The sequence below is a fragment of the Homo sapiens genome, chromosome 6 (assembly GCF_000001405.40).
Source record: "Homo sapiens chromosome 6, GRCh38.p14 Primary Assembly".
In the NCBI taxonomy this organism is placed as follows: Eukaryota; Metazoa; Chordata; class Mammalia; order Primates; family Hominidae; genus Homo; species Homo sapiens.
The window spans coordinates 108,113,310-108,138,466 of record NC_000006.12 but is presented as its reverse complement, the minus strand read 5'-3'; the positions used below and the strand labels follow the sequence as shown (position 1 = coordinate 108,138,466).

At 47.8% G+C, this 25,157-nt stretch overlaps 2 long non-coding RNA genes across 3 annotated transcripts in view, besides 4 other annotated features; one reads left to right on the top strand and one right to left on the bottom strand.

Moving 5' to 3' along the window:
• OSTM1-AS1 (OSTM1 antisense RNA 1) overlaps positions 1-14,834 on the bottom strand; it is a 35,763-nt gene extending 20,929 nt beyond the window's left edge. The window contains exon 1 of the long non-coding RNA NR_145458.1: positions 14,692-14,834. This is a non-coding gene — a long non-coding RNA (OSTM1 antisense RNA 1). The remainder of the gene's footprint in view (positions 1-14,691) is intronic.
• On the top strand, positions 349-18,347 carry LOC124901368 (uncharacterized). Of its 2 annotated transcripts, none has more exons than XR_007059696.1 (2): positions 349-380; positions 17,136-18,347. It is a non-coding gene; the product is annotated as an uncharacterized LOC124901368 (long non-coding RNA). The 2 variants fall into 2 exon arrangements; XR_007059695.1 differs by lacking the exon at positions 349-380 and adding an exon at positions 15,753-16,133.
• Positions 4,788-4,867: an enhancer, noted in NCBI's record as "active region_24909". NCBI's record gives its function as "activates an Ori minimal core promoter by ATAC-STARR-seq in GM12878 lymphoblastoid cells {active_cell/tissue: GM12878}" and the evidence as "EXISTENCE:reporter gene assay evidence [ECO:0000049][PMID:35858748]".
• Positions 20,143-20,730: an enhancer, noted in NCBI's record as "H3K4me1 hESC enhancer chr6:108438941-108439528 (GRCh37/hg19 assembly coordinates)". NCBI's record gives its function as "activates a minimal SCP1, AML or CMV promoter by ChIP-STARR-seq in primed H9 embryonic stem cells {active_cell/tissue: H9 hESC(primed)}" and the evidence as "EXISTENCE:reporter gene assay evidence [ECO:0000049][PMID:30033119]".
• Positions 20,143-20,824: a biological region, named in NCBI's record as "H3K4me1 hESC enhancer GRCh37_chr6:108438941-108439528".
• Positions 20,535-20,824: a silencer, noted in NCBI's record as "silent region_17447". NCBI's record gives its function as "represses an Ori minimal core promoter by ATAC-STARR-seq in GM12878 lymphoblastoid cells {active_cell/tissue: GM12878}" and the evidence as "EXISTENCE:reporter gene assay evidence [ECO:0000049][PMID:35858748]".

The following is a 25,157-nucleotide window of genomic DNA, read 5'->3' as shown; positions in this document are numbered from 1 at the left end:
ATTCCATTTCTATGATTTAGCTGAAGTGAGATTTACTACCTTCCTAAATGGGAATTAAATGGAAGTACTAACAGGGAAAAAGGGAAAAACGGATGTTGGACAGGCAACTAACAGTGTCTCTGCTACAGGCTACAACATCATGATGATGTGAAATATTAGGTTGAATCTTAAAATTGCTGCTGTTGGGGCTGGGCCTAGTGGCTCACACCTGTAATCCCAGCTGTTTGGGAGCTGAAAGGAGAGGATCGCTTGAGGCCAGGAATTCAAGACCAGCCTGGGCAACACAGCAATACTCCCTCTTTTAAAAAAAGTAGACCAGGCCCAGTGCCTCACGCCTGTAATCTCAGCACTTTGGGAGGCCAAGGCAGGCGGATCACGAGGTCAGTAGATCGAGACCATCCTGGCCAACATAGTGAAACCCTGTCCCTACTAAAAATACAAAAATTAGCTGGGTGTGGTGGTGTGCGCCTGTAATCCCAGCTACTCGGGAGGCTGAGGCATGAGAATCACTTGAACCCAGGAGGCGGAGGTTGCAGTGAGCCGAAATCGTGCCACTGCACTCCAGCCTGGCGACAGAGCGAGACTCCATCTCAAAAAAAAAAAAAGAAAAAAGAAAAGAAAAGTAAAACAATTAGCCAGGCATGGGGGCATGTGCCTGTAGTCCTAGCTGCTAGGGAGGCTAAGAGGGGAGGATCTTTTGAGCCTGGGAGTTTGAGGTTACAGGGACCTATAATCACACCACTGCATTCCAGCCTGACGAAGCAAGACCCTCTCTCTAAGAAAAAAAAGTGCTGGTATTGAACCACTGACACAACACTAATTTCATATCTTCAACCTAGTAATTTCCAATCCTATTTATACAGACAGCCTGGGTTGAGGGGTGGGGAGAGAATAATATTGGCCCTAGGTTTTAGTTCAATCACTTAATATAGCTCATGAAGTGTGAATCACTTACATTGATTGATACAAGTAAATCAGACTCCTGTGAGCAAGAAGAATTTGCATAATACAAGATCTTATTTGATTTCTTTATCTCTTTCTTGGCACATCTCAAATGTTAGGAAATATTTTCACAATTCCAAGGCCCAAAGCATTTGTCCCGATGCACGTGCTGATGAAGCCTGTGAATGTTTTATTTATACAGAATTAACAGTTTGTTGAATTTTAATTTTGAACAATTAAATCACAGAATGCATTATTCTGTTTTTGTTATAAAACATTTAAAAATTTCAAAGAGAGAGTGACTGTGTACCTTCCATTTTAGGGGTCTTTTAACCCAGGTAGACTTCGAGAAGTCTAAAATGAGCTATTTAGTATACGGAAATGAACAAAGACACTTTTAAGACTGGGCCACCCTTGAATTGTACAGAGCTATGCAGAGAGCACATTGGAAAATGGCAACCCATTCTCTTTTAAAAATGTAGATGTACGTTTTAACTCATTTTTTTGTTTGTTTTGTTTTCTAGAGGCGGGGTCCTGCTATGTTGCCCAGGCTGGTCTCAAACTCCTGGGCTCAAGAGTTAATTTATTTTTTGAATAGGTAATATACACATTAAATATTTCTGATCTGAAAATCCAAAATCTGAAATGCTCCAAAGTCCAAAACTTTCTGAGCACTGACATGATCCTCAAAAAAAAAAGTTCATTGGAACATTTCAGATTTAAGGTTTTTGGATTAGGAATGCTTAACCAGTATTGACACAGTATGAAATTCTAAAGATATGAAAGTTATAGTGAAGTGTCCCTCCCACAGCTATTCCTCAGCCACTCCATTGTCTTCTTGAAAACAACTACTACTAGGAAATTTCTATGTCAAATCCCACCTTTCCCCACCAATAGTGACGTACTTTACACAATGTTCTGCTCCTTGTTGCTGTTGTTTGTTTGCTTGCTTTGTTACCTAACAGGCTATTTTGGAGACTATTCCAAATTGGTACATAACGAGCACCCTCATCTATTTTTTATGGCAGCATAACAGTCCTGTCGAGGATGTAGTATATTTCTTTAACCAGTTCCCTACTGTTGAACAGTTAGATTGTTTTCAGTCTTTCACTATTATAACAATGCTGCAAAGAATAACCTTCTACATATAATATTTTCTACATGTGCAAGTATATACTTCTAGGGAAAATTCCCAGAGAGGAATTGCTACATCAAAGCAAGATTACAAAATTTACAAAAATTACCAAGATAGATAATGCCAAATTGCCCAGAGAGATTGTAGCAATTTAAATGCCTGCGGCAGTGCCCGAGAGCACTTATTTCCCCACAAGTGACAGAGAGCTTTCTAGAAATAGATATCAAGTTGCCCCCACCTTTAATCTGGGTATGTGGACCCAAAAGGTATCTTGTTCCCATTTTTACAAAAAAAGGGAACAGAAGATGCTAATGATGGACAAGCATGGTGGCCCACACCTGTAATCCCAGGGCTTTGGAAGGCTGAGGCAGGAGGATTGCAGCTGAAGGATTGCTTGAGGCCAGGAGTTCGAGACCAGACTGGTCAACATAACCAGGTAGAGCCTATCTCTAAATTGAAAAACAATTTTTTTAATGTTAAAAAAAGAAAAAGAAAAACAGGCTGGGTGCGGTGGCTCATGGCTGTAATCCCAGCACTTTGGGAGGCTGAGGCGGGTGGATCATTTAATGACAGGAGTTTGAGATCAGCCTGGCCAACATGGTAAAACACCATCTCTACTAAAAATACAAAAAATTAGCTGAGCGTGGTGGCTTGCACCTATAACCCCAGCTACTCAGGAGGCTGAGGCAGGAGAATCGCTAGAACTTGAGAGGCGGAGGTTGCAGTGAGCCAAGATCGTGCCACTACACTCCAGCCTGGGTGACAGAGTAAGCCTCCTTCTCAAAAAAAAAAAAAAAAAAAAAAGAAAAATGCTAATGATATGGTATTAAGGTATTAAAGTAACAAAAAGTAGAATATAATCTGAACTATGTAAAAATTTGAGGGGACATAGAAAAATGAATAGACACAATTAAAATATTGCATTAAAATATTAAATAGTAGCAATTAAATTTATAAAATTATAATTTAATTTATAAAATTACAATATTGACAGTATTTAAAGGTTTGTGCTTTTTGATAATTAGCTCTGATTTTGTTTACAACCAGAAAACAATGATCAAATAGCTGCTGTTGTCCTTGGGCTAGGAATCCCATTCCCTTGCAAGTTATCTCAGAGGAGTGCTCCTTTAGCAAAATTATTTAAAGGATTCTCCATTTGGTTCCACTTTAGGCCGGGCACCTGCTGTTTGTTCCCTCAGTATCTCCTTTACATTGCCCTCAAAGATGCCAAGGAACTAGAGCAGTGTCCACAACTCATCTGCCTAGTTTGGCAAATCTACCAAAAATAAAACTCAATTTTTTTTAACTTTTTAAAATAAATTGCTCTGCTCTGTCAATATTATGATCACAGTGGAGCTTTATCTCGTTTTCTGGCTTTTCCACTGCAGTTTGTTTTTCACTGACACCATTAAAATATTTCTGAACCCCAAAAGATCACTCTATCCAGAAAAAGTCCTGCTCATTTGTGAAGAGTCTTTAGGTCCCTCAGGCAGTTTACAGCTCAGCTTCTGCAAGGGCAGTGTATTTTGGAGCATTTCCTCAGGGAGATAACTCCGAGGTATACGAGTTCCCGGCCCTGACTCGGAGGGATCCGAGTTCCTTGCTCTCTCAGCATAAAGGCTGATAGCTGTTGCAGTTGCAATTTTCTCTCTAAACCCAACTCCTTTTGTTGACTTGCAGAGGCTTACATTCCAAAAAAGGTAATTTGAAAGTGCTGCTGAATTTAGATGCATTTTGCTAATTTGTTTTTATTATGCATAGAAATATTGGTATAAAAGGTGTTTCAATTATTTTCTAAGGGAGGGACCTATGTATTCTCTGCAGCCACAAAGCTTTTAAATGGAGTTATTTTTCTCGGCCTATAGCCGCTCTCCCTTTTAAGTACCCCAGCAGAAAAAGTAAGTTTACTGCTCCTCGCACAATGGGCCTCTTCACTTTTCAGGTTTGGGAGACCTGGGTGACCTACGAAAGTTAATTAGAAGGTTAACAAAGACGAAGACAGAGTCGAATCCATCGTTTCTCCTTCAGCCAAAGATGTCATCCATTAATTAGGGAAATCGTTAAGGTGGCCTTTATAGAATCCATAGAAAATCTGTCGTTGGCGGTCGACAGTTTTGATCAGATTTTCCTCTCCCCAATAATGCTATCCTTAATGGTACGAAAAGCAGAGGGCCGGGGCAGGGAGAGGGGCGCGGGGAGGGGGTGGGAAGGATGTGTTTCAGCAACAGTACAGTTAACCAGCCGCCGGTGCTGACGGCTTTGATTCTCAGGCTGCCCCGCATACTTGCTCCATGATGTAATCCTTATTGAACCTGGAGGCCGAGGGAGCGGGAGGAGCCGTGCCACCGCCTCGCCGCCGCAGGAGGCCCCGGGAGTTAATAGCGCCGGCCTCTGGGGGAAGCTGCGCCTGGGTCCGCAGCCGAGGCTGCCACTCAGCTGCCGGGAGGCGACTCGGCCCCGCAGGCCCTGGGCTGGGGCAGCTCCGTGTGGGGGCGGCCCTCCAGCCGTGCGGTGGGGCCCGGCTCTGTCTCCGTTGCTTTGAGGCTTTCTCCCTGTCTCTCTAGGGCTTCGCTGGTTTCTCTCTCCTTTTCCTTTGATTGTCTGGCACCGAAACACCAGCTGAACGAAGGAAGAGTTCCAGTCTGACAAGCTGTTTGCGAATGGAAAGTCTGGTGTTGGTGGTGGCACAGACACGCCCTGCCTGCCATGCCCTCGCTCGCCTTCTCTCCTGCACGTACAAGACTGTATCTTTCAGTGTGAATATCATGTATTTAAAGGGTTTCGGTTTGAATATCATGTATTTAAAGATGGTGTTAACTCTGAGTATGGGATGCCTTTAGTTTTCAATGTGGATTTTTTTTCCTTCTTATTATGTTAACCATTTGAAAGTGTACAGTTCAGTGGCACGAGGTACGTTCGTATTGTTGTGAGACCATCACCACAGTCCTCTCCAGAATTTTTTCATCTTCCCAAATGGCAACTCTGTATGCACGGTGGAACTTATTTTTGAAACTACATGGCAGGGTTGGTTCCATCTTTTTCAAGTGATCATCAATGGATTCTCTTTAAGGAATTAGCATCTTTTAATGGATTGGAGTTTTTGCGTAGTTCTCTATGGCAAAAGCTGGAACAATGTCACATGGCCCTTGTTTACCATGCAAAAAATGTCAGTGTACTTTTGGCCTCTCACCAGATTGATATTGAATGAATATTGCACAAAACCTTGCCTCGACGGTAAATTGCCATTTTGGTTTGCTTTACTTCCCTCATGGCAGAGTGGATAAGAGGTGCTGCCCCTCAGCAAAGAGGGAAGTGTCACTGTCCGCTCCTAGCAGCACAGAGGAAAGAACCACAGACAAAATCATATCTGGTGACACCACCTACACCCAGGCCCAGTGGCTTCCTCAGCTAGGATGGAGAGGAACTTCTCTCCCTGTCGTCTTCCCAGCCCCATCTCCTCCCCACCCTGCAGGAGGCCAAACTTAGACCCAGTAGCCCTTTAGTGGGACCATTCCTCTTTTCCTGGCTGTGAGCTGGGAAAAGCGGGGAAAATGAGGGAGGGTGGTACGCTCCCAACTTCCCAGAAGAAAAAGTAGTAATTGTCAAAAATCAGCCTAATGGGCTGGGCCTGGGTGCAGTGGCTCACGCCTGTAATCCTAGCACTTTGGGAGGCCGAGGGGAGTGGATCACCTGAGGTCAGGAGTTCAAGACCAGCCTGGCCAACATGGTGAAACCCCGTCTCTACTAGAAACACAAAAATTAGCCTGTAATCCCAGTTATTTGGGAGGCTGAGCAGGAGAATCACTTGAACCTGGGAGGCGGAGGTTTCAGTAAGCCAAGATAGAGCCATTGCACTCCAGCCTGGGCAACGAGAGCGAAACTCCATCTCAAAAACAAAAAACAAACAAACAAAAAAAATCAGCTAAATGATGATAAGTGCATGGAAACAACTACATACATTATGAAACATAAGCCAGAGCTCTATTTGTCACCAACACCATAGTTTAAACAAAACCCCACCATTCCCATATCCAAAGAATCTCTATTTCCCCCGAAAGCTCTGTGCCTTTGATTTCAGTTTTATTGCATGTGTACTTAGCACACCTATGTTGCTAAATTGCTCTATATTCCTTTGCAGGTACAGCTAGAAGAGTATAAAGGCCCTCAACCAATTGAACTAAGAGACTGTTAGTAGTCAATTGGTGTAGCTCTGGGGCTGAGCTACATAAAGTGGCCCCATCCAGCTCCTCTGTCCCCCTAACTTTGCTTGATGATGTACCATGTCTGCCCCTAAACAGCATATTAGAATTACCTGATGGGCTTTAAAAAACTCCCAAGACCTGAGCTGCACCTCAGACTGATTACATAAGAATTTCTGGTGGGGGAAACTAGAGTATGGTATGTTTATTAAAGCTTCCTCAGGGGACTCCAATGTGCACTTATATATCTAAATCTAAGGTGATTTATGTAGTTGAGATTTATGAGATGAGAACTATGCTAGTTAATTTCTTTTTATTTTTTAGAGAGGGTCTCTCTCCATCACCCAGGCTAGAGGATCTCGGCTCACTGCAACCTCTGCCTCCCAGGTTCAAGCCGTCCTCCCATCTCAGCCTCCTGAGTAGCTGGGACTACAGGCACACACCATCGTGCCTGGCTAATTTTTGTATTTTTAGTAGAGACGGGGTTTCACCATGTTGGCTAGGCTGTTCTCCAACTCCTGCCCTCAACTGATCCACCACCTCAGCCTCCCAAAGTGCTGGGATTACTGGTATGAGCCACTGTGCCCCACCAAGGCTAAAGAAGTTTTGAGGTGCATGCTGGAAAATGTCTAGATTGCTGAGGAGGGGTTGTTGATAGAAATATGGACTTTATTTATTTATTTTTTTTTGAGACAGAGTCTTGCTCTGTTGCCCAGGCTGGAGTGCAATGGCACGATCTCGGCTCACTGCACCCTCCGCCTCCCAGGTTCAAGCAATTCTCTTGCCTCAGCCTCCCAAGTAGCTGGGACTATAGGTGCGCACCACCCGCCCAGCTATATTTTGTATTTTTGGTAGAGATGGGGTTTCGCCATGTTGCCCAGGCTGGTTTCGAACTCCTGGTCTCAAGTGATCAGCCTGCCTTGGCCTTCCAAAGTGCTGGGATTACAGGCGTGAGCCACCACGGCTGGCCGAAATATGGACTTTAAAGACAGTTCTGGTGAAGACTCGGAAAGAGAAGAGAGTTGGAGAGAAAGCCTTCATTTTCTTAGAGAATACACATAAATAGCAATGAGCAGAATGTTGGTAGAAACGTAGACCTCGCCAATCTGGTAAGGTCTCAGACAGAAATGATGAACAATTATTGGAAACTAGAGAAAAGGTGCTCTTTGTTGTAAAGGGAAAACGAACTTTGCTGGGCTGCGTTCTAGTGTTTTGTGGAAGGTAGAACTTGTGAGCAATAAAATTGGATATTTAGCAGAGAAGATTTCCAAGCAAGGTATTGAAAGTGAGGCGTGGGTCTGCCTTACTGCTTATAGTAAAATGCAAGAGGGCAGCGATAAATTGAAGAAGGAATTGTTAAACGAAAAGACATCAGAACTTGAAGATGTGGAAAATTCTTAGCCTATTCATATTGCAAAAAAATGAGGAATCATGTTCTGAAGAGAACACTAAGGGTGTGGCTGAGTGACTATTTAATAATGAGGTTAATGTGGATGTGAACTACGATCTAATCAGCCATCTCAGCAGAAGCCAGGAATGGAGGTAGGATTATACCAGCAAAACTTCACTAGCTGGGAGAAAACTGGCCAGAATGAAGGAAGGCTGTGAACATGAGCTATCCTTTAAGAAAGAGAAAAGTGACCTGAAGCCAGTTCAGAGATCACCAAGGCTGTCACTCCCACCACAAGCCCAGAGGCAAGACTATTTTCTCCTCAGTTTCAGAAGGCAGAGCCCTTGAAGACAGCCATATGTGCAGGGCCTTTCTCAAGAGCTGGAGAGGTGGGGCACCCTCTGAGCTGAAGAATTATTCTCAAGCCTTACCATCTAATGGAAGTTGCCTTTCCAGGTTTTGGACTTTCTTGAGACCTATCACCCTTTCCTTTTTTGCTCTTTCTCCCTTTTAGAATGGGAATGTCAACCCTATGCCTGTCCCACCATTGTAGTTTGGAAGCATATGATTTTTCTGGTTTTATGGGTTGCTAGCTGAAGAGGAATTTTGCTTCAGGATGAATCATACATTGAGTCTCACCCATATCTGATTTAGGTGATATTTAGATGAGATTTTGGACCTGAAACTTTGAGTTGATGCTGGAATTAGTTAAAACTTTGGGGGCTATTGGGGTAGAATGCATGTATTTGCATGTGAGAAGGATATGAATTTGGGGGGACCAGGAGGCAGAATGTTATGGACTGGATATGTGTGTTCCCTCAAAACTCACTTGTTAAAGCCCTAAACCCCCATGTGCCTGTATTTGGAGACAGGGTCTGTAAGAAGGTGATAAAGGTTAAATTAGCTCATAAGGGTGGGGCTGTAATTCAATAGGACTTGTGCCCTTAAAAGAAGAGGAAGAGACACTTGAGCTCTTTCTGTCTCTGCCATGTGAAGACACAGAGAAGGCAGCCACTTGCAAGCCAGGAAGAGGGCCCTCACCAGAAACCAAATCAAGCAGCACTTTGATTTTGTAATTCTCAGACTCCAGAACTGTGAGAAAATGAATTTCTGTTGTTTAACTCACCTAGTCTATGGTATCTTATTATGGCAGCCTGAGCAGACTAATATAAGAATCATACAAAGGTGATACCAATCACTGCCCCAACCCATATTCCCTTTTAAAATAACCCACCCTGGCCCACTGGTCCAGCTGCCCTGTGGGCCACATGCTCCTGGTGCCCTCAGTTTATTGACCAGAGGTAAGCACCTGACCCAGGTAACTCACCCCCACCCTGGCCATGGGCCCCTGTAACATTTCCCCCATGAAATCCACAAATTAGAGCTTCCTTTAGGTTACGAAGACCTTCTTTTGAATTGCGTCTTCTCTAGTGATCATTCATGTTAGAATGAGTTAACTTGGTCAGATAATCTTAATACTCAACTAAAAAGCTGGTTGTGACAGTAATTTTGAAGCCTGAGGCACTTCCAAAAGGGACAGGCCCAGGAAGTGTGTAGTGGTTACAAACTTTCAGGAGCGAAGGACAGCATGGGTAAGGGAGACCACGGGAGAAGTGGCTAGGAAGCAGGTTAGGGAGGGCGATGGGAGATTGAAGGATGCAAGTCAAACCTGGCCTGCATTGCCATTTCCCCCAGGCTTTCTGATCAAACGAACCCTCCATCTTTCCCATCCAAGTCATCCTGAGGGTGACCTTTATCCTAACTATCCTAATCAGAGCAAATTGTATTGTAAGGGAGTATTAGTCCATTTTCCTGCTGCTGATAAAGACATACCTAAGACTGGGCTATTTACAAAAGAAAGAGGGTTAATGGATTTACAGTTCCATGTGGCTGGGGAAGCCTTACTCTCATGGCAGAAGGTGAAAGGCATGTCTCACGTGGCAACATACAAGAGAAAAAAGAGCTTTTGCAGAGAAACTCCCATTTTTAAACCATCAGATCTCTTGAGACCCACTCACTATCATGAGAACAGCACGGGAAAGACCCGCCCCTGTGATTCAATCACCTCCCACCAGGTTCCTCCCATAGCACATGGGAATTGTGGGAGTTACAATTCAAGATGAGATTTGGGTGGGGACACTGCCAAACCATATCAAAGGGTAAGAGACCTCTTCTAACTTCCTTATGTATTGGGATAAGGGATGGTGGTTACTGAGTGGAAACGGGAAATATAGCAGAGCGTTTTGGGAAATTGTAGGTATTTCTCTCTCTCTCCCTCTCTCTCTTTCCTCTCTGTGGCCCTGTAGCTTCTTGTGTTAGCTTACCACCTGGGCAGATGTGCCCACTCCCTCTGCACAATAGCTCTCTCAGCCACAACAGTCAGGGATGGACCTGGCAAGGGGTTTAAGTTACCAAGCATCTACTGAGGAAATTCATGCTGAAAATTCCTATTCAGATTGTTAGAAACAGCCAAATATACCTTTTTTTTTTTCTATTTTAAATCCTAAATAACTAGATTCAAATTTGGATTAATGGGTACACTGGGGAATGAAGTAATCTGATTCATTTTATTTTCTGATGAAACCTTCAAGTTAACCAGAAAATGCTTTTTTCTTAAAAAAAGAAAAGAAAAACAACAGTACCCAAAAGTGTTTCTAAAATATTTACTTTTCTCTCTTTGTAAACATAGTGACAATATTTGTGTTCTCCTGGTGATGTGTGAGTCATGAGTTTAAACAGCAGTTCCCATGGAAGGGATCACAGGAAGAAATTAAAACAGAACTGGGTTTATGGGTCAGAGCATGCCTCAGCCCAGCGGTGACATCAGAGGAGCCTCAGGCATGTCACTGAACCTTTTTGAGTCCTGCTTTCCTACTATGGGGAGGGAAAATGAAGGTGGTCATGCTTGTCCTTTTCGTCAGGGATAATTACTTTAAATTTATATGTGAAAGTAATTAGTAAATTGAAAGTTATGTTGTTATTTTAGTCTTTGGCATATACCAGGGGTCCCCAACCCCCAGGCCATGGACAAGTACTGGTCCATGGCCTGTTAGGAACTGGGCCACACAGCAGGAGGTGAGCAGAAGGTGAGTGAGCATTACCACCTGAGCTCCGCCTCCTGTCATATCAGCGGCAGCATTCGATTCTCATAAAAGTGCAAAGCCTATTGTGAACTGCATAGGCGAGGGATCTAGGTTGCCCGCTCCTTATGAGAATCTAATGTCTGGTGATCTGAGGTGGAACAGTTTCATCCCAAAACCATCCCTCCACACCTGTCTGTGGAAAAATTGTCTTCTATGAAATTGGTCCATGCCAAAAAGGTTGCCAAAAAGGTTGGGGACCACTGGTACATAGGACTTGCTCTATAAATGTTTGTTGAATGATTTCTGCAGTGCTAATGAGCTCCATGCACAAGGTTTAGGAAATTGGGCTGAATCTGTACAAATCCCAGATCATACTTTGAAAAACTGTGATTAGTTTTCTTGATACTAAATTCCTCATATGAGCTTGTCCTGTTAGCACTTTCTTTCACAAAGTGAGATGTAGAAAAAAAAAAAGTAAATTGAGCGTTCAGTTCATTGAGTTCAGGTTTAACTGAGCTGCTACTATACAATACAGTCAAGCTGCTACTATACAATACAGTCATTAATAATGTATTCTACTTTTTTAACTTATTCAACAAATATTTACCAAGGAGTATGTTGTTGAACAGGAACAAACATGGTCCCTGCCCTCATGGAGCTGACAATCTGGTAATTGAAGCACCCTCATACATTAAAAAGGCACTGGGGAGATGCTTCACCTCTCCCTCATGGGTTTTCTCAGTCCCTTCCAACATCACTTCTGACCAGGACTAGAAAGAAGTGGGGAAAGCAGGACAAACACGAGGGTCTGGCAGTCCAAAAAAGGGCTGGGGACTGAACACAAACCCCACATCAAGATTTTCAGATCACTGTTCCTGGCTGGGAGTTGGAAAGCTTGTTTTTTCTTCTTTTGTCACTGAGGCTAGAATATTCTCAGTGATCCTGCTTTTTTTTTTTTTTTTTTTCTAACAGTATCCAAATGCCATGTCTTGGTTTAACTTCAATCTGACAGTAACAAATATTTTTGAGAGCCTATGAAGGGTCAGGCACTGTGTTGGGCACTTTCCATATTTTGTCGTTAATTCTCATAACAACTTTGCAAGGTAGATACTATTACTATTCTCAATCTGCATTTGAAGAAATTGCAGCTTGTAGAGGATGTGGCCAAGATCACAATAGGTGGTTACAACAGAAATAAACCCAGTTCTGTCCTACTTGAGTGCCTTTCCTCTTCCTGCCTAGCCATGCAGGGCCTATAGTCAAACAGAACAGTGGGAACTTTGTTTTCCTATTTCTTCCCACAATAGGAGGGAAATGCTTTTCCAACACATCAAAGAATAATGATAACAATAGCTAATATTAACTGAGCAATTACTATGTGCCAGACACTATTCTAAGATCTTTACATATATCAACTCATTTAATCCTCATAAACCTATGAGTGGTTACTCTTATTATTTAATGTTATCTATCTGTCATTTTATAGATAAGAAATGGAGAGGTTAAGCAATATGGCAGAGGCAGTTTGAACTCAAGTTACCTGAGTCTAGAACTTTAAAATTGTTATTTCAGGCAGGGTGCGGTAGCTCATGTCTGTAATCCCAGCACTTTGGGAGGCCAAGGCAGGTGGGTCACTTGAGGTTAGGAGTTTGAGACCAGCCTGGCCAACATAGTGAAACCCTGCCCCTAACAAAAATACAAAAAATTAGCCAGGCGTGATGGCAGGTGCCTGCAATCCCAGCTACTTGGGAGGCTGAGTTGAACCCAGGAGGAAGAGGTTGTAGTGAGCCAATATGGTACCATTGCAGTCCAACCTGGGCAACAAGAATGAAACTCCATCTCAAAAAAAAAAAAAAGTTGTTATTTCATCCCAAATAAGTACACTACTTTCAACATCTATCACAGTTTTCTTAAGTTGCTGAAATAAAGGATGGGAGTGACCCCTCCGTCCTCACCTCCTACCCCCATGAGCAGAAGACACAATTCTGTCCACCCATAGTCTGTGTGAATGTTTCCCTCCAGCACAGTGCAGTGTGGAACCTATATAACTGTAAGCTGCAGCCATGAATTCCATCCACCATGAAATGGCACATGACCAAAAAATGCATGTACTGTATTCTAAATCTGAGCTATCTGCCTAATTTAGTTTTTGTTCCCAAGTGTAAAACATTCCAAATGTATAACATATCCCATAGATATGTGAGTTCCCTCAAAGGGTTAACAGCTCTCCTTGAGAAGAGGAATTGAAGAAACCTGAGAAACATTTTCTTTACCAGTTCAGGCAGGTGACAGAAAGGTAAAAAATTAATTTTAAAAATATGAGATGTTTGGGTCTTTATTCCCACTGGCTGGCTATTTGGGCAAATTGGGCAGTGGCATCACTGATTGGGCTCCAACTGCGGGCACAGCAGAGGCAGAAGGCAGCAGGAAATTATCAGGGCATCAGGCTGATGAATTCTAACCTCAGTCCACTAATGTCTCACCTAAGAACACGCTCCTTCTTTCTGCATCTCGGAGACACACATGAAGGTTCTCTGAAGCAGGCTGATATCCTCTAACGTAAAGGATGATATCCTATAGTTTATGGCTGGAACCATTAAGGGTGCTTGATAACTGCTCATTAAATAAATTAAGTGCCTAAAATATAATTACTGATGTTCTACTTTTCCCCTGTCTTTGCTGCACCACAGGAAAAAGTTTCCACGGCCATTGATTTATATGAGCAAAAACCAAAATTAAATTAAGAGGTCACACACCAGTAGCAAAAACAAAATGAGGAAAACATTTTCTAATGTTTTACTGCAAAGGAATCGGGGCTTTTACGTAATAGCAAAATTAGGGTTTAGATGGTAGTATTCTTTCAACCAACTTTTCACAAATATTTCCTGGAACTGGCCCAAGGAATGAATCCTAATTTAGCCTAATCTTTTTCAGATGTAATTGAATTCACTTGTTTAGGTTTCTGCCTCCTCCACCTTTCATCCGGTGGCAACACACGAGTGTGGCTTAGCTCTCACAGGGCCCACGGTTTAGTCTGCAGGCCATGTTGGGATCCACTTCTCCAGGGATTGGCCAGAGATCTCTGAGGCTCTCAGTCCTTTCTTCTACAGCTACTGTTTTCCCCCCACCCCTGAGAAATTCCTCCAGACCTTGTTTGTACTCCCCCATCTACTTATCAACTCCCCCCTCCACCTCTCTGCACCCCAATCACCAAAGTTTACTATGAAAATGAGTGACCCCATTTGCTGAGAAAGAGATAGTCTCTGGGAGCAATTGAGTGAGAGAAAACATGAACAAAAAGTCTAGAACCCTTGACTGAAATCACTTAGGATTGCACTAGCTGCCACTGAGCTGAAGCAACATGCATTCCTAGTGGCTAAGGGATCCGTGAAGCATGAGCTCGAATCCCTAGCTTTTGTTGTGTGGGGCTCAGGAAAGGATTTAGCACTACCTACATCAGGTTGGAGTGAAAGGTTTCTAAGGACGCACTCATTCCCATGATAGCCTCTGAGACCTCAGGCCTCTGGCTGGGCATCTGCTCAGCCCGGGGACAGGAAACCAGCTCCACAGGGAGGACAGGCTTGCCAGACAATCCCCACCCCAGGCAGGCACCCCCCTTGTGCTCCCGGAGCTCTCCCTGGCAGGGTGGTGGCTCGCTGACAGTTCATCAGGTTTTACAAACATTAGCTTCTACATCTGCTCTTTGAGCTTAAAAATCTCTTCAGATGAAGGCGCTACAAGGGTAAGAAGCCTGTGTCTCTCTCCTTTCTGTCCTTGAGTGGAAATGTAGAGATAGTTTTTAAAGAAGAATTTGATTCGGATGTAGAAACTTAAACAAAAAGACTTGTTTATTTCCTCTTTGGGGATTCTTTTCTCCCACTATGTGTATCAGAGGCTAATTGCTGTGGACACGCACGTGCACACACACACACACACACATACCTGCAAACACCAGCACCGGCAGTCTCTGCTCTTGTACTCACATTTCATCCTGAGGATGCGGGTGCCTCTAGAACAAGAGCCCACAGTCAATGCGGAGTAGAGTTTGGTGAGGAGCCAGCAGGCCGGTGGGCCCCCGTCTTGCCATGAGTGGTTCTTTAGGCTGGTTCTCGGCGGGAATCAGAGTCTGCGTGATTTCTGCCATGGCTTCCCAGAACCTAGTTGTCCCGTCTCCAACTGCAGCCTTCTACGTGCAACAAGGGAATGTGGGCTTCTTTGAAACAGGCTTCTTAGAGCAGGAGTGTAGGCAGCCAAGTGTGAAGGGTGTCAGCCGGGGTGGCACGCCCTGGGGGAAGATGTGGGACCAGCTGGGTCCTGGGCCAACTGCAAAAGAGGGGAAGCCTGCTATGAGAGACAGAGCAGTTCTCCAAGGATCCCACTTGCTCCAGAACTGTCTTTTGTCATTTTAAAGTGGCGCTGTCATCACTGGTCTTACCTTGGCTCCAGGACATGCACTGATTTTCATTCATTAATGTATTCCTTCAAAATCAAGTCATTCACATACGAATGCTATTTAGTTCTCACAATCCATGAATTAAGGGGCATTGTCCCCATTTTATTAATGAAGAAGCCAAGGCTTCAGAGTAGTTAGGCAGTGTGTTCCCAAGGTGAGGCCATCAGTTACTGGCAAGGACAAGAAGTGTCATCAGAATCTGGCCTCCTGACTTTGAATTCTTCCCCTTGCACACCTTTAATCAATGGACAGGAGAGGACAGTCAGTCCTCCGTATTTGTGGGTTCTGCCTCTGTATATTCTACCAATTGCAGATCCAGAATATTTGGAAACTTTTTCCACAAGGTTTTAAAAAAGCAAACACGCTTGAATCTATGGCACTAAGTACTACATTGAATTCCTTGGAACTGATGTGCAGGCATTGCATTAGGTATTAAATCTAGAGATGATTTAAAGTATACAGGAAGATGTACATAGGTTATATGCAAATACTATGCCATTTTATATCAGGGACTTGAGCATCTTCAACTTATTATTATTATTTTTTTCAGATGAAGTCTCGCCCTGTCTCCCAGACTGGAGTGCAGTGGTGCAATCACAGTTCACTGCAACCTCTGTCTCCTGGATTCAAGCGATTCTCCTGCCTCAGCCTCCCGAGCAGCTGGAACTATAGGCGCACACCACCATGCCTGGCTAATTTTTGTATTTTTAGCAGAGATGGGGTTTCACCATGTCAGCCAGGCTGGTCTCGAACTCCTGACCTCAAGTGATCTGCCTGCCTTGGCCTCCCAAAGTGCTGGGATTATAGTCATGAGCCACTGCACCCGGCCCATCCTCAAATTTTGGTATGAGGTGGTGTCCTGGAATCAATCCCCCATGGATACCAAAGGATGACTGTACTGTATTCCTAGCATGAATTCAGTATCAATCAGGTACTGTTGAGAATTCAGAGACACCATAACTTGGTTTCTGCCATCTTGGTTACTTACAACCTGGTTAGCCACCATGAAGAGCTAAGGAAGGGCTGGGTAGTATGTGCTTAATGAGTTATGGGTTCATTGGTTCAGCAAATGTTTCTTGGGCATCGCGTGCCAGACATTGGTAGGAGTAGAGGAACACAAAGATGAAAAGCATGTAGTTTCTATTCTCCAAAAGTTCAGTCAAGACAAGGGGGACCTCACTGCTCAAACCTGTTCAATAGCTTCCCATTGCTTCCAGGGTGAAATTCAAAATCCCTGTGTGGCCCACAAGGCTGTTTGAGACCTGACCTTTGCGCCTCTCCCGAGCCTCATTCTGCTCCAGCCACACGGGACTTCGTTCAGTTCCTCCATCAGGCTCACTTTCCTCCCTCGGGGTCTTTCCACCCTGGCATGGCTTTACAGAAGTGTTATGTGAGCAGGGGCTTGAATAATGCATAGGTTTCCAAACAGAAAGTGATGGACAAGCGAGGTAGAGGAGTCTGAGTGGGGAGGAGCATACTGAGGAAGAGTAGCTGGGGAAGTTTCATAGAAAAGGCAAAACACCCGCTGTACGTAACTGACAGTCAATAACTATTTGTTGAACGGAGCTGGGCTGAGAAGGCTAGAGATGGGCAGAAGCTGGAAGGAAAGGAGCTGGGGGAGTTGGGGGAGGAACACCTGCGTGAAGCCTCAGAAGCTAGAATCGCCTGAGGACAAAGATGATGGGGGCTGAAAGGTCAGCCATCCTTGAGTTGGGGCGGGGGCGGGGTTGAGGTCCTTTGGGCAAGTTCAGGGGTCAGACAGTGAGGTGTGGGAAGGTGGTGATATGTGGGATGGGATGGCCTGGCAGGTGAGAGAGCTGAATTCCAGTTGCAGCTCAGTGCCTGGCTTGGTGATCTTGGTCCAGTCACTTCTCTGGGCCCCAGGATTTGTGAGGATGATGGAGCAGATTATCTCTAACCCTTTCCTTTCCAGGTGAATCGTGCTCCTTAACAGTCAGGTGATGACAGAGTTGCAGGAACCAGGATGGATGCCAGGTGCTGGAAAAGAGGAGGAAATCTCAGGAGGCTAGAGACAGCCCAGGCCTCTGCAGCACCCGGGGCTGCGGAAAGAACTGGGGGCTGGAGGGAGAGACAGAAGGTGAAGTTCCTTCCAGGGGAGGAATGGGTGGGGGTATCCACAGCCTGTGACTCATCAGTGTCCCACCAGGACCAGGTCAAACCCCAGCAGAATTCTCCAAGACAACCCGACTTTCTCTCATTCCTGCCCTGATCTCAAGTCCTCTTGCGGGGGGGTCAGGCCTGCCATCAGAGGAGAAGGCTGCTGTGGCCAGTAAAACTGAGGGCCAGGCTGGACGTTTTCAAAGAGTAAGCGGGGAGGGCAAAGAGCTGAAGGGGCTCTCAGGACTGTCCAAGTAACAGACCAAGCCCCTCACATAGGTTTTTTTCTCTAGTGACCCCATTCTGCCCCATGGATGTCACTTGTTTTTTTCTTTTTCTTTTTTTTTTTTTTTTTTTTAGCTTTTGGGAAGGAGGAGCAAGGCGAGGGAGGTGGGAAGAGACTTTTTTTTTTTTTTTCACATGAGCCCTCAGAATTACAGTTCACAAACTATTCAGTAAACTGACCGGCCTCAACCTCCCCTTCAACGGCCTAATCTAAGGGGTGGATCTATGTGTTTTGTTGCTTGTCAGAAACAATCGCTGCGCGGCCCATTACATTTACAGCACGTCGCCCTTTAATTGGTGTAACACGCTGAGGCCTGAAAGGAGGAGAGGCCCACAAAGGCGCCCGTGAATGAGCCTTGACTCACACAAAAACACTCTGCAGAAGTTCAGAGCTGGCCACTAACAAGGAGGTAGGGAGTTAGTTTGAAAAGAGGGTGAAGTTCAGAAATGTGTCACCTTGAGGAGCCTCCCATCAAAGCAATGGTCGCATTGACAAGCTGCAAAGAAAAAAAGTTAAACCTTCAGGGCTGCGGACTTGCCTGCTGGATTTATTCTTAAACTTGAGGAGGGGGGAAGGAGAGGGAGAGTCTTTCTTTTTCTTCTCCTCTTCTCCACCCTTGTCTCTCTGCGCCCCCCCCCACCCCTATTTACTTCAGAGAGCCTTAAAGAAGTCCCAGCAAAGAAACATACCTCCCACCCCCCTGCTAAGATACACTTTTAAAAATAAACGTATAAAAAGTCAGGCTGAATGCCGCTGCCTGAGGCTGCTGCTGCTGATTTCGGCCTCTGTGGGAACAGCGATTTTTCCCTGCCCTCTAGTGTGTCCCCTGCCCATCTTCTGAGGCAACTCCTCTGGGCGGGGGGCGTTGCGGCCTAGGCCGGGGCGCCGTGCGGGCCTGGAGAACGTGTCCCCAGAGGCCGCCAGGGCCAGGGCGTGCGCGCAGGGTCCGTGTGGCAGAGGGGACCAGGTCGCGCGCCATTCAGAAGCATTTGGGAGAAGGGATCCGCCCCCGCGCCAGTCCAGCTCAGTGGGGTCTTGCGTGTGAGGGTCCTGCCCCATCCCAGGAAGGACTCAGTTTTCCCTCCTCCTGCCTGTAACACCAGGAAGACCCGACACCGGCCCACGCTTCGATTCCAATTGCGAAGTGAGACGTCTTTAAAAGAAGACACCACCGTGCCCGGGGTAGAGGTGGGGGACCGAGTCGCACCTCCCATTCCCCGGACTTCCACGGTGATGGACTCAACCCCTATAGCACACCTTCCTCGCTCCAGATGCCCGGAATCTCCCCAGTGCTGGTGGTGCTGCGGTAGACCTCCCTCGGTCCCCTTCCTGCACCCTGCCCCACGCCTTCCTCGGTGGGGGGCGCCCTGCCACGCCTGCGCTGGGGTGGGCACCTCCGCGTCTCCTGCCCGATGCGCGCCCGGGCGCCCCGAGCCGCCCTCCTCCGCTCGCCCCCTCCCCGCCTTTGTCCCGCTATCGGACCCCCGCCCCTCGCGCTGCTCCTGTGAACCGGCTGCCCGGTGCGAAGGCGGGGGCACTTTTCAATGCAGCGCCGCAGCTCCCTCCAGATTTGTAATCCGCCAAAAAGCCGCTGATTGCCGCAATCGTTACTTTTCATTAAAAAAACTTAGAAGCAATTTGGGAGAACCCTTCTCAATGAATACATTTACCCCCGAACGGTCTTTATTCTCCGCCTCCACTTGATGAGTTTCTCTGGCACGAATCGGTTCTTACAGGCACAGAATGGGCAATCCCTTGATCCCCGTCAATTGTCATCCCGAGTCGGGGCCACTTTGACCGCCAATAGTGGGGAAGTCAGAGCTAATCCTCAGAAGGAATCACGGGAAAAGAAAAGCAACAATAACCAAGTCAAGCGTAAAAAATGAAAGAGAAATCTCTATTATCACTCACTACATTTCCCAGCTATGTACTGAAAAAATCAGCTCGCTTGTCATTCGAGTCAGACACCCGCACAAGAATATGAGGTCGTGGTGGGTTGGTAGACTCACACGACGTAAGGGACGATATTTGAGAGCGAAAGGCCTCTCTTCTGCCTCTGCCAAATCCCCCTCACATCCGCCATAACCATTAAATACAGACTGACTTTATTCTGTATGGGGAGGCCAGGGGTGGGTGGTGAGGGAGCCCCCAGCTGTGCCTGGATACAAAAAAAAAAAAAAAAAAAATCCCTGGAGAGAGGGGTGGGGGCGGGGTGTGGATGCGAAAGAAACGCGCCCCTAGCCGGTACCTCCCGCTCCGGGCCCCGCAGGCGGCTGGGCCTCGTCAGCCCGGGTTCAGCCGCCGCGCCGGCCGCCCCCTGCGCCCCCTGCGCCCCCTGCCCACGGCCCCCGCAGCCCGGCGGGCGCACGGCCTCGGCGGCTGGGTCCTCGCGCGGGCGCAGGTGTGCAGGGCAAGCGCGGACGGGCTCCGTGGGCCGCCGGCGAGGCAGGCGCAGCGGCTTGCCGGGCCGCGGAAGCCCGCGCGGTGAGACCCATGAGTGTGCACGCGTGGCTCCTTTCCACGCCGACACCTGCGATTATGGACGGGGGCCTCGATTCCTTTCTGCTACAGCCAAGTGAGGGCCAAAGTTATTTCTAAGAAGGCCGGGCAGAGCAGGTCGCTGGGCGGATTCCCGGCGCGGCCGCAGCATCTCCGGGAGGGGTCGCCTCAGAAGCCGCGCGCCCCTCTCTCCCTCCCTCCCTGTCTCATTCTCTCCCTCGCTCTCTCCCTCTCTCCCGGAGAGGAACTTCGAGGGCGGGAACTGCTCCGGCGCTCATGGACTCGGGGGCGGCAGCCCGAGCCTCTCCTTGCACCGTGTCTGGGAGGGCCTGAAGCCCAAACTCCTCGGGCTGAGAAGGGTCCGGGGCCGCAAGGTGCACGCGCGGTCCTTGCTGTCAGCGGCCTTTCCGCGCTCTCGCGCTCTGCAGGCCAACTTGTGCTTCTGGGGTACTTTCATTTTCCAGGGGATGGGTGGAGAGAGCCTCCACCGGCCGGCCTCGGGGCGGTGGGGCAGGGCCGCGGGAGGCGCGGAGGCGGTTCCTTCTTCCCCTTGTCCGACCTCACCCGGCCCAGGAGACGCCGCTGCCCCGCGCGGCCGGGCTCCCGCCTCGCGCCTCAGCCTCTCGAGGCACCGGGCTGGGTGGGGCAGTGCCCAGCTCCCGCCTCACCCCCAGGCACCCTCACTCCGGAAGCCCTCCGTGCCTCTCCCTTTGGGGAAACCTCTCTGGCCTGTCACCTCCCCTCTTCGCACCACACGCACATCACACACCGCTCACACATCACATGTGTACTATTACACACACTACATACCATTTAGACCAACGTTCACACGTTTGTGCCTATACCAAGAAAAAACACATTTACACAGCAACAAGCTTATGTAGAGTCACATTTACACGACAGCTGGACTCACCTGCACACGCATACACAAACACACACACACACACACATACTCCTGCGCACCCAGGCACACCCCTGCGCGTGCTTTTTGTACCAGCTTGCGCCCTTGGGTGCCCGCGGACTGGCTCCGTCCCGAATGGCAGGTCAGGAGTGGGGAGGACTAGAGGGAGACAGCCTGGTGGGGGTCGAGGACTTTGGCCGTGGGACCTGGGCCTCCTTGGGGATTCTTGTCTGTGCAGATGTCCCCGAGTTTCCCTTGGGGCCTGAATGCACTCGCGCCCTTCACCCCGCGGACGCTGCACCGGAGTTGGGACCTCCCCAGGGATCCTCACCCACTAGACCAGAGCCCGCTGCAAGGACTGGGCGGCGGGTTCCACTCACCCGGCCACCAGACACTCGCCCACGTGCCCCTAAGGGGGTGGGTGAGACGCCTTCGCGTGGCCGCGGGAGTGGAGGTAGGATAGATAGGGAAGAAAAGGGGATCCGACCCGAGTAACCCCCGTCCCCGCCCCAGTTGGGCTGCCCGGGCCAGGGAGGACGTCGTAGAGGGCGGGAGTGATTGTCGCCTTCTACAAAGCCAGTGAGAGCTTTTAGTGCTCCCCAGATTTACATTAATGCGAATCTCCGCTTGGTCCGCAGTCTGGAAACGGTGCTTGCCGAGAGGCCGACACTCTGCAATCCTAATTAGTGATTTTTGTCCCCTTGTTACTGGGCTCAGCATCTCATGCAAATGAACTCTTCATTTCAGCCACATTACCCCAGCTCCAGAATTAACTGACTCTTATCTTTAATGATATGCTGCTGAAGTTCTCCGAGCCCGGCTAGCTTTTTATCTTGATTACTCTAATCAATAAGAAATGATAGAGTAGAATTATAAACTCTATTGGCTTTTAAATGTTGCCGACAAGCCCTCTAGATGCCATTCCTGTTCATTGTTATTTATTAAAATGATCCTCAGCCTAACAGCGGATGCAAATAGGCGAACAAGAAGAATTAGCCTTGGGACTCCTCCCAGCCAGCCCCTGACTCCATTGCCCCCCAATCCCAAGGGAAGACTCCTTACTGTTGGGGCTTGAAAAGGTGGAAAATAAAGATATTTAAAAGTGTTTAAAAGAAATTTGCTCTTGTAAAGGGGCCAGAGAAATAGAAAGACAATTTTTAAAACACCAGGCCCCCACCCCATCCAGGTAGTCTTAAAGGTGGAAGCCTCGAAAAAGGCACTTTGAGACACAGAGCCTCATGTTCTGGGAATAACTCTCTCTCTCTTTCTCTGTCTCTTTCTCTCTCTCTCTCTCTCTCTCTCTCACACACACACACACACACACACACACACACACACACACCCCTTCCACCCCACCCCTTTCTGCATACCAGTATCTATAGGCTTTCGTGTGTGTATGTGTAATTTCAGACCGACCTTGGGAAATGCAATTTCCCTCACATAGTTCTCTTGGGTGAAAAATGGTGCTTGAGTCCCTTCGAGTGTGCAGAAGCAGCCCTCGTTGACCAAAGCGTCAGGGCGCCTCCAGTGGACAGTTTTGGGTTCCTCGACGTCCAGCACCAGGTGGACTGAGACCTAGAACCTATCTTCTGGCCTCAGGCAGTCCCGTCACCGACACCCGGCCAAGGTCCCGGGACCCCACAACCCTCCCGGGTCACACCTTTCTCGCAGGCCCAATTTGAGAGGCATTGTGTTTCCCAAGAAGTCAAAATAGAGGGTGTGGGACATTTCTTCTTTCCTTTGCTCATAGAGAGTGAAAGGTGTTTTGTCGTGAGGTATGTCGGAAAAGGCTATGAAACATCCCTCCTCACCCTCGATCAGTGCATTACCCGGCCTTCGCCCCCACCTCGGCTCTGAGTTTCGTCTCGGGTAGAGTGGGAACTTTCAGGTCGCCCCGTGAGGGCCAGGGGCTGCTGAGAACACCTGGCCGTCATCTCTCATTAGAATCATGTACGAATTTCACTAGCTTTCGTTTAGATCCAATGCAAACCTATTAAGAGCCTACTCTGCATTAGGCACTTTGTCTGGGGCGCAGCCCAGGCTCTGAGGCTTAGGGGACCTTTTCCCTGGCTTGCTTGAGCCTCCGCCCCCTCGGAGCTTTGAATGGGTCCTCAAAATCCCCGGCATCCAAAGCCCTGAAAGCGCGCAACCCGGAGGCGAGCACACACAAACACACACGCGCCACAACTCGGCCTGCCCCTGTCCTGCAACCCTGCGGGCGCACGACTGTCTGTCTAGATCCTTTTACGCACAGCCCTACTCGCCCACCGCTAGGCGACCCGTCCTCAAGCAGCCGCGCCGTCCCTCTAGCCCTCGTAGCTGCGATTTCCGTTCTTTTCTCCCCTTATCCCTCAGCACAGCCCAGTGAGCAACTTGGCCCTCTGGCCTCGCCAGACGGGGAAGCTAAGAGCTAGGGTTCCCCAAGGCTCCTAGCTGCTGAGCGGGTACCGGCAACCAGCAACCCGCCGACGCAAAGGCGAGAGGCTGCGTGCGCGCTGGGAGCGGAAGGGGCTGGAACGCAGACTCAAGTCCTTGCCAAGGCCGCGGTCGATCCGTGGAAAGAGAAGTTGGAAATCGCAGGCAGGCTAAGCCTTTTTTTTTTTTTTAATGACACGTGGGGGGAAGGGCTGAATGTATGAAAATCATGTAAAATTTCTGTTCTTAGCAACATCCTTGTTATTAGGAATGATGACTAAACCGCCAGGATTATTCTGGACTGTAAGTTATCAAGAGCCCACTAATTTCACATTAAAGCCCATTGACTGCAACGGCGTGATTGAAGGGTTTTTAACAATTAACATAATCAGAAAATGAGCTGAGATAATTTTTATTCAACTCATTACTTTTTAATCATGTATTTCTTTTAATTAATATCTTCTCCGTGAACATAACACAAAGCGGAGCCCCAGTGCTGGCCCAAGCCAGCCTGCGGGACTGAATTTGACACAGCCAAACATTTCACCAGCAGCATTCATTGCATCTCTATTGTGGTGTGGGCGAAATAGAAAAATCTTGTCCAAAAGTCACCATGTTGTTTTGAAACACAATTTTAAAAACAGGGGAGGGCGTTGGGAGCGCACAAGCCATACGCTTTCAATTCGACTTGACTTTCATATTTGGGCGCCTCTCTTGGTTTGCAGCCAGAGGGACATAAATGGGAAGAAACAGAAGAAGAGGAAGAAAAGGCTTTTGGAGATGAATGTCCCATCCTGGCTTCGCAGGCGAGTGGGCTTTGGTTGTTTGCGCCTAGTACACTGGCTGGCTGGTGGGACAGCTGGAGGCACAGACCTCGGCCTTTGAGTCTTGGCCCCGCGGACAAACCTGGCCTAGACCGTCAGGGCTGAGACGCTCAGGCCCGTCCACCACCACCACCACGCCACCTCCTGGGCTCTGACCCAAGCAGGCGAAGTCCCTCGGCTCCCCAAGCCCGCCTGGAAGTGGGCGGTGATTGCGGGACCCTCTTTGGGCAGGATTCTGGATTACCGCTGCCGTGCGCACTACCTAGGCATTTGCATTGCAGCCTGGATGCCGTGACCTTGCCTGTCCCCCAGCACTTCCTAGTATTCCCAACCCGGGAGACTTGCTCCTATTCAAATGCCTCACATGTGGTGGAGAACGAGCATTTATCTGTGGCACAGGGGGTTCCAGCCTCCCCCATGGAGTGTCCAGTCTCCACTCGGGCGACTCCGACCCCGAGGCGCATCTCGCCCTTGGGCTGACCACGGCATCTCCCACACCTCCCAAAAAAGGCTGTTTCTGGACTAAGATCTCTGGCAGTAGGGGAGCCGCATCAGTCTCGGAAAAAAGAAACAAAGCCGACCCCTGGTGGAAGAAAACGAAAGTTTAAGAATATAAGGTTTGAGGGAATCGCATGCTTAAACTTCTGTACAAGAAAGAGTGGGGAAGAAAGAGGGAGTAGAGGGGAAGGAAAGGATAAATAACGAAAAGGAAAATTGGAAGACAGAGAACAGGAGAGGCTATATAGCAGATGGAATTCAGGTGGAGAAAGCTGGGAGGAATGAGGCTCAGAGAGACTGACCTTTTATGCCTTGATCAAGCTTGTTTCCTTAATCCTTGTGGCCTGGCCAGTGTCAGGGGTCAGGCAAGGACACCTAATTTTCAATTTCTCTCCAGTGTAAGTCTGGAAGTTC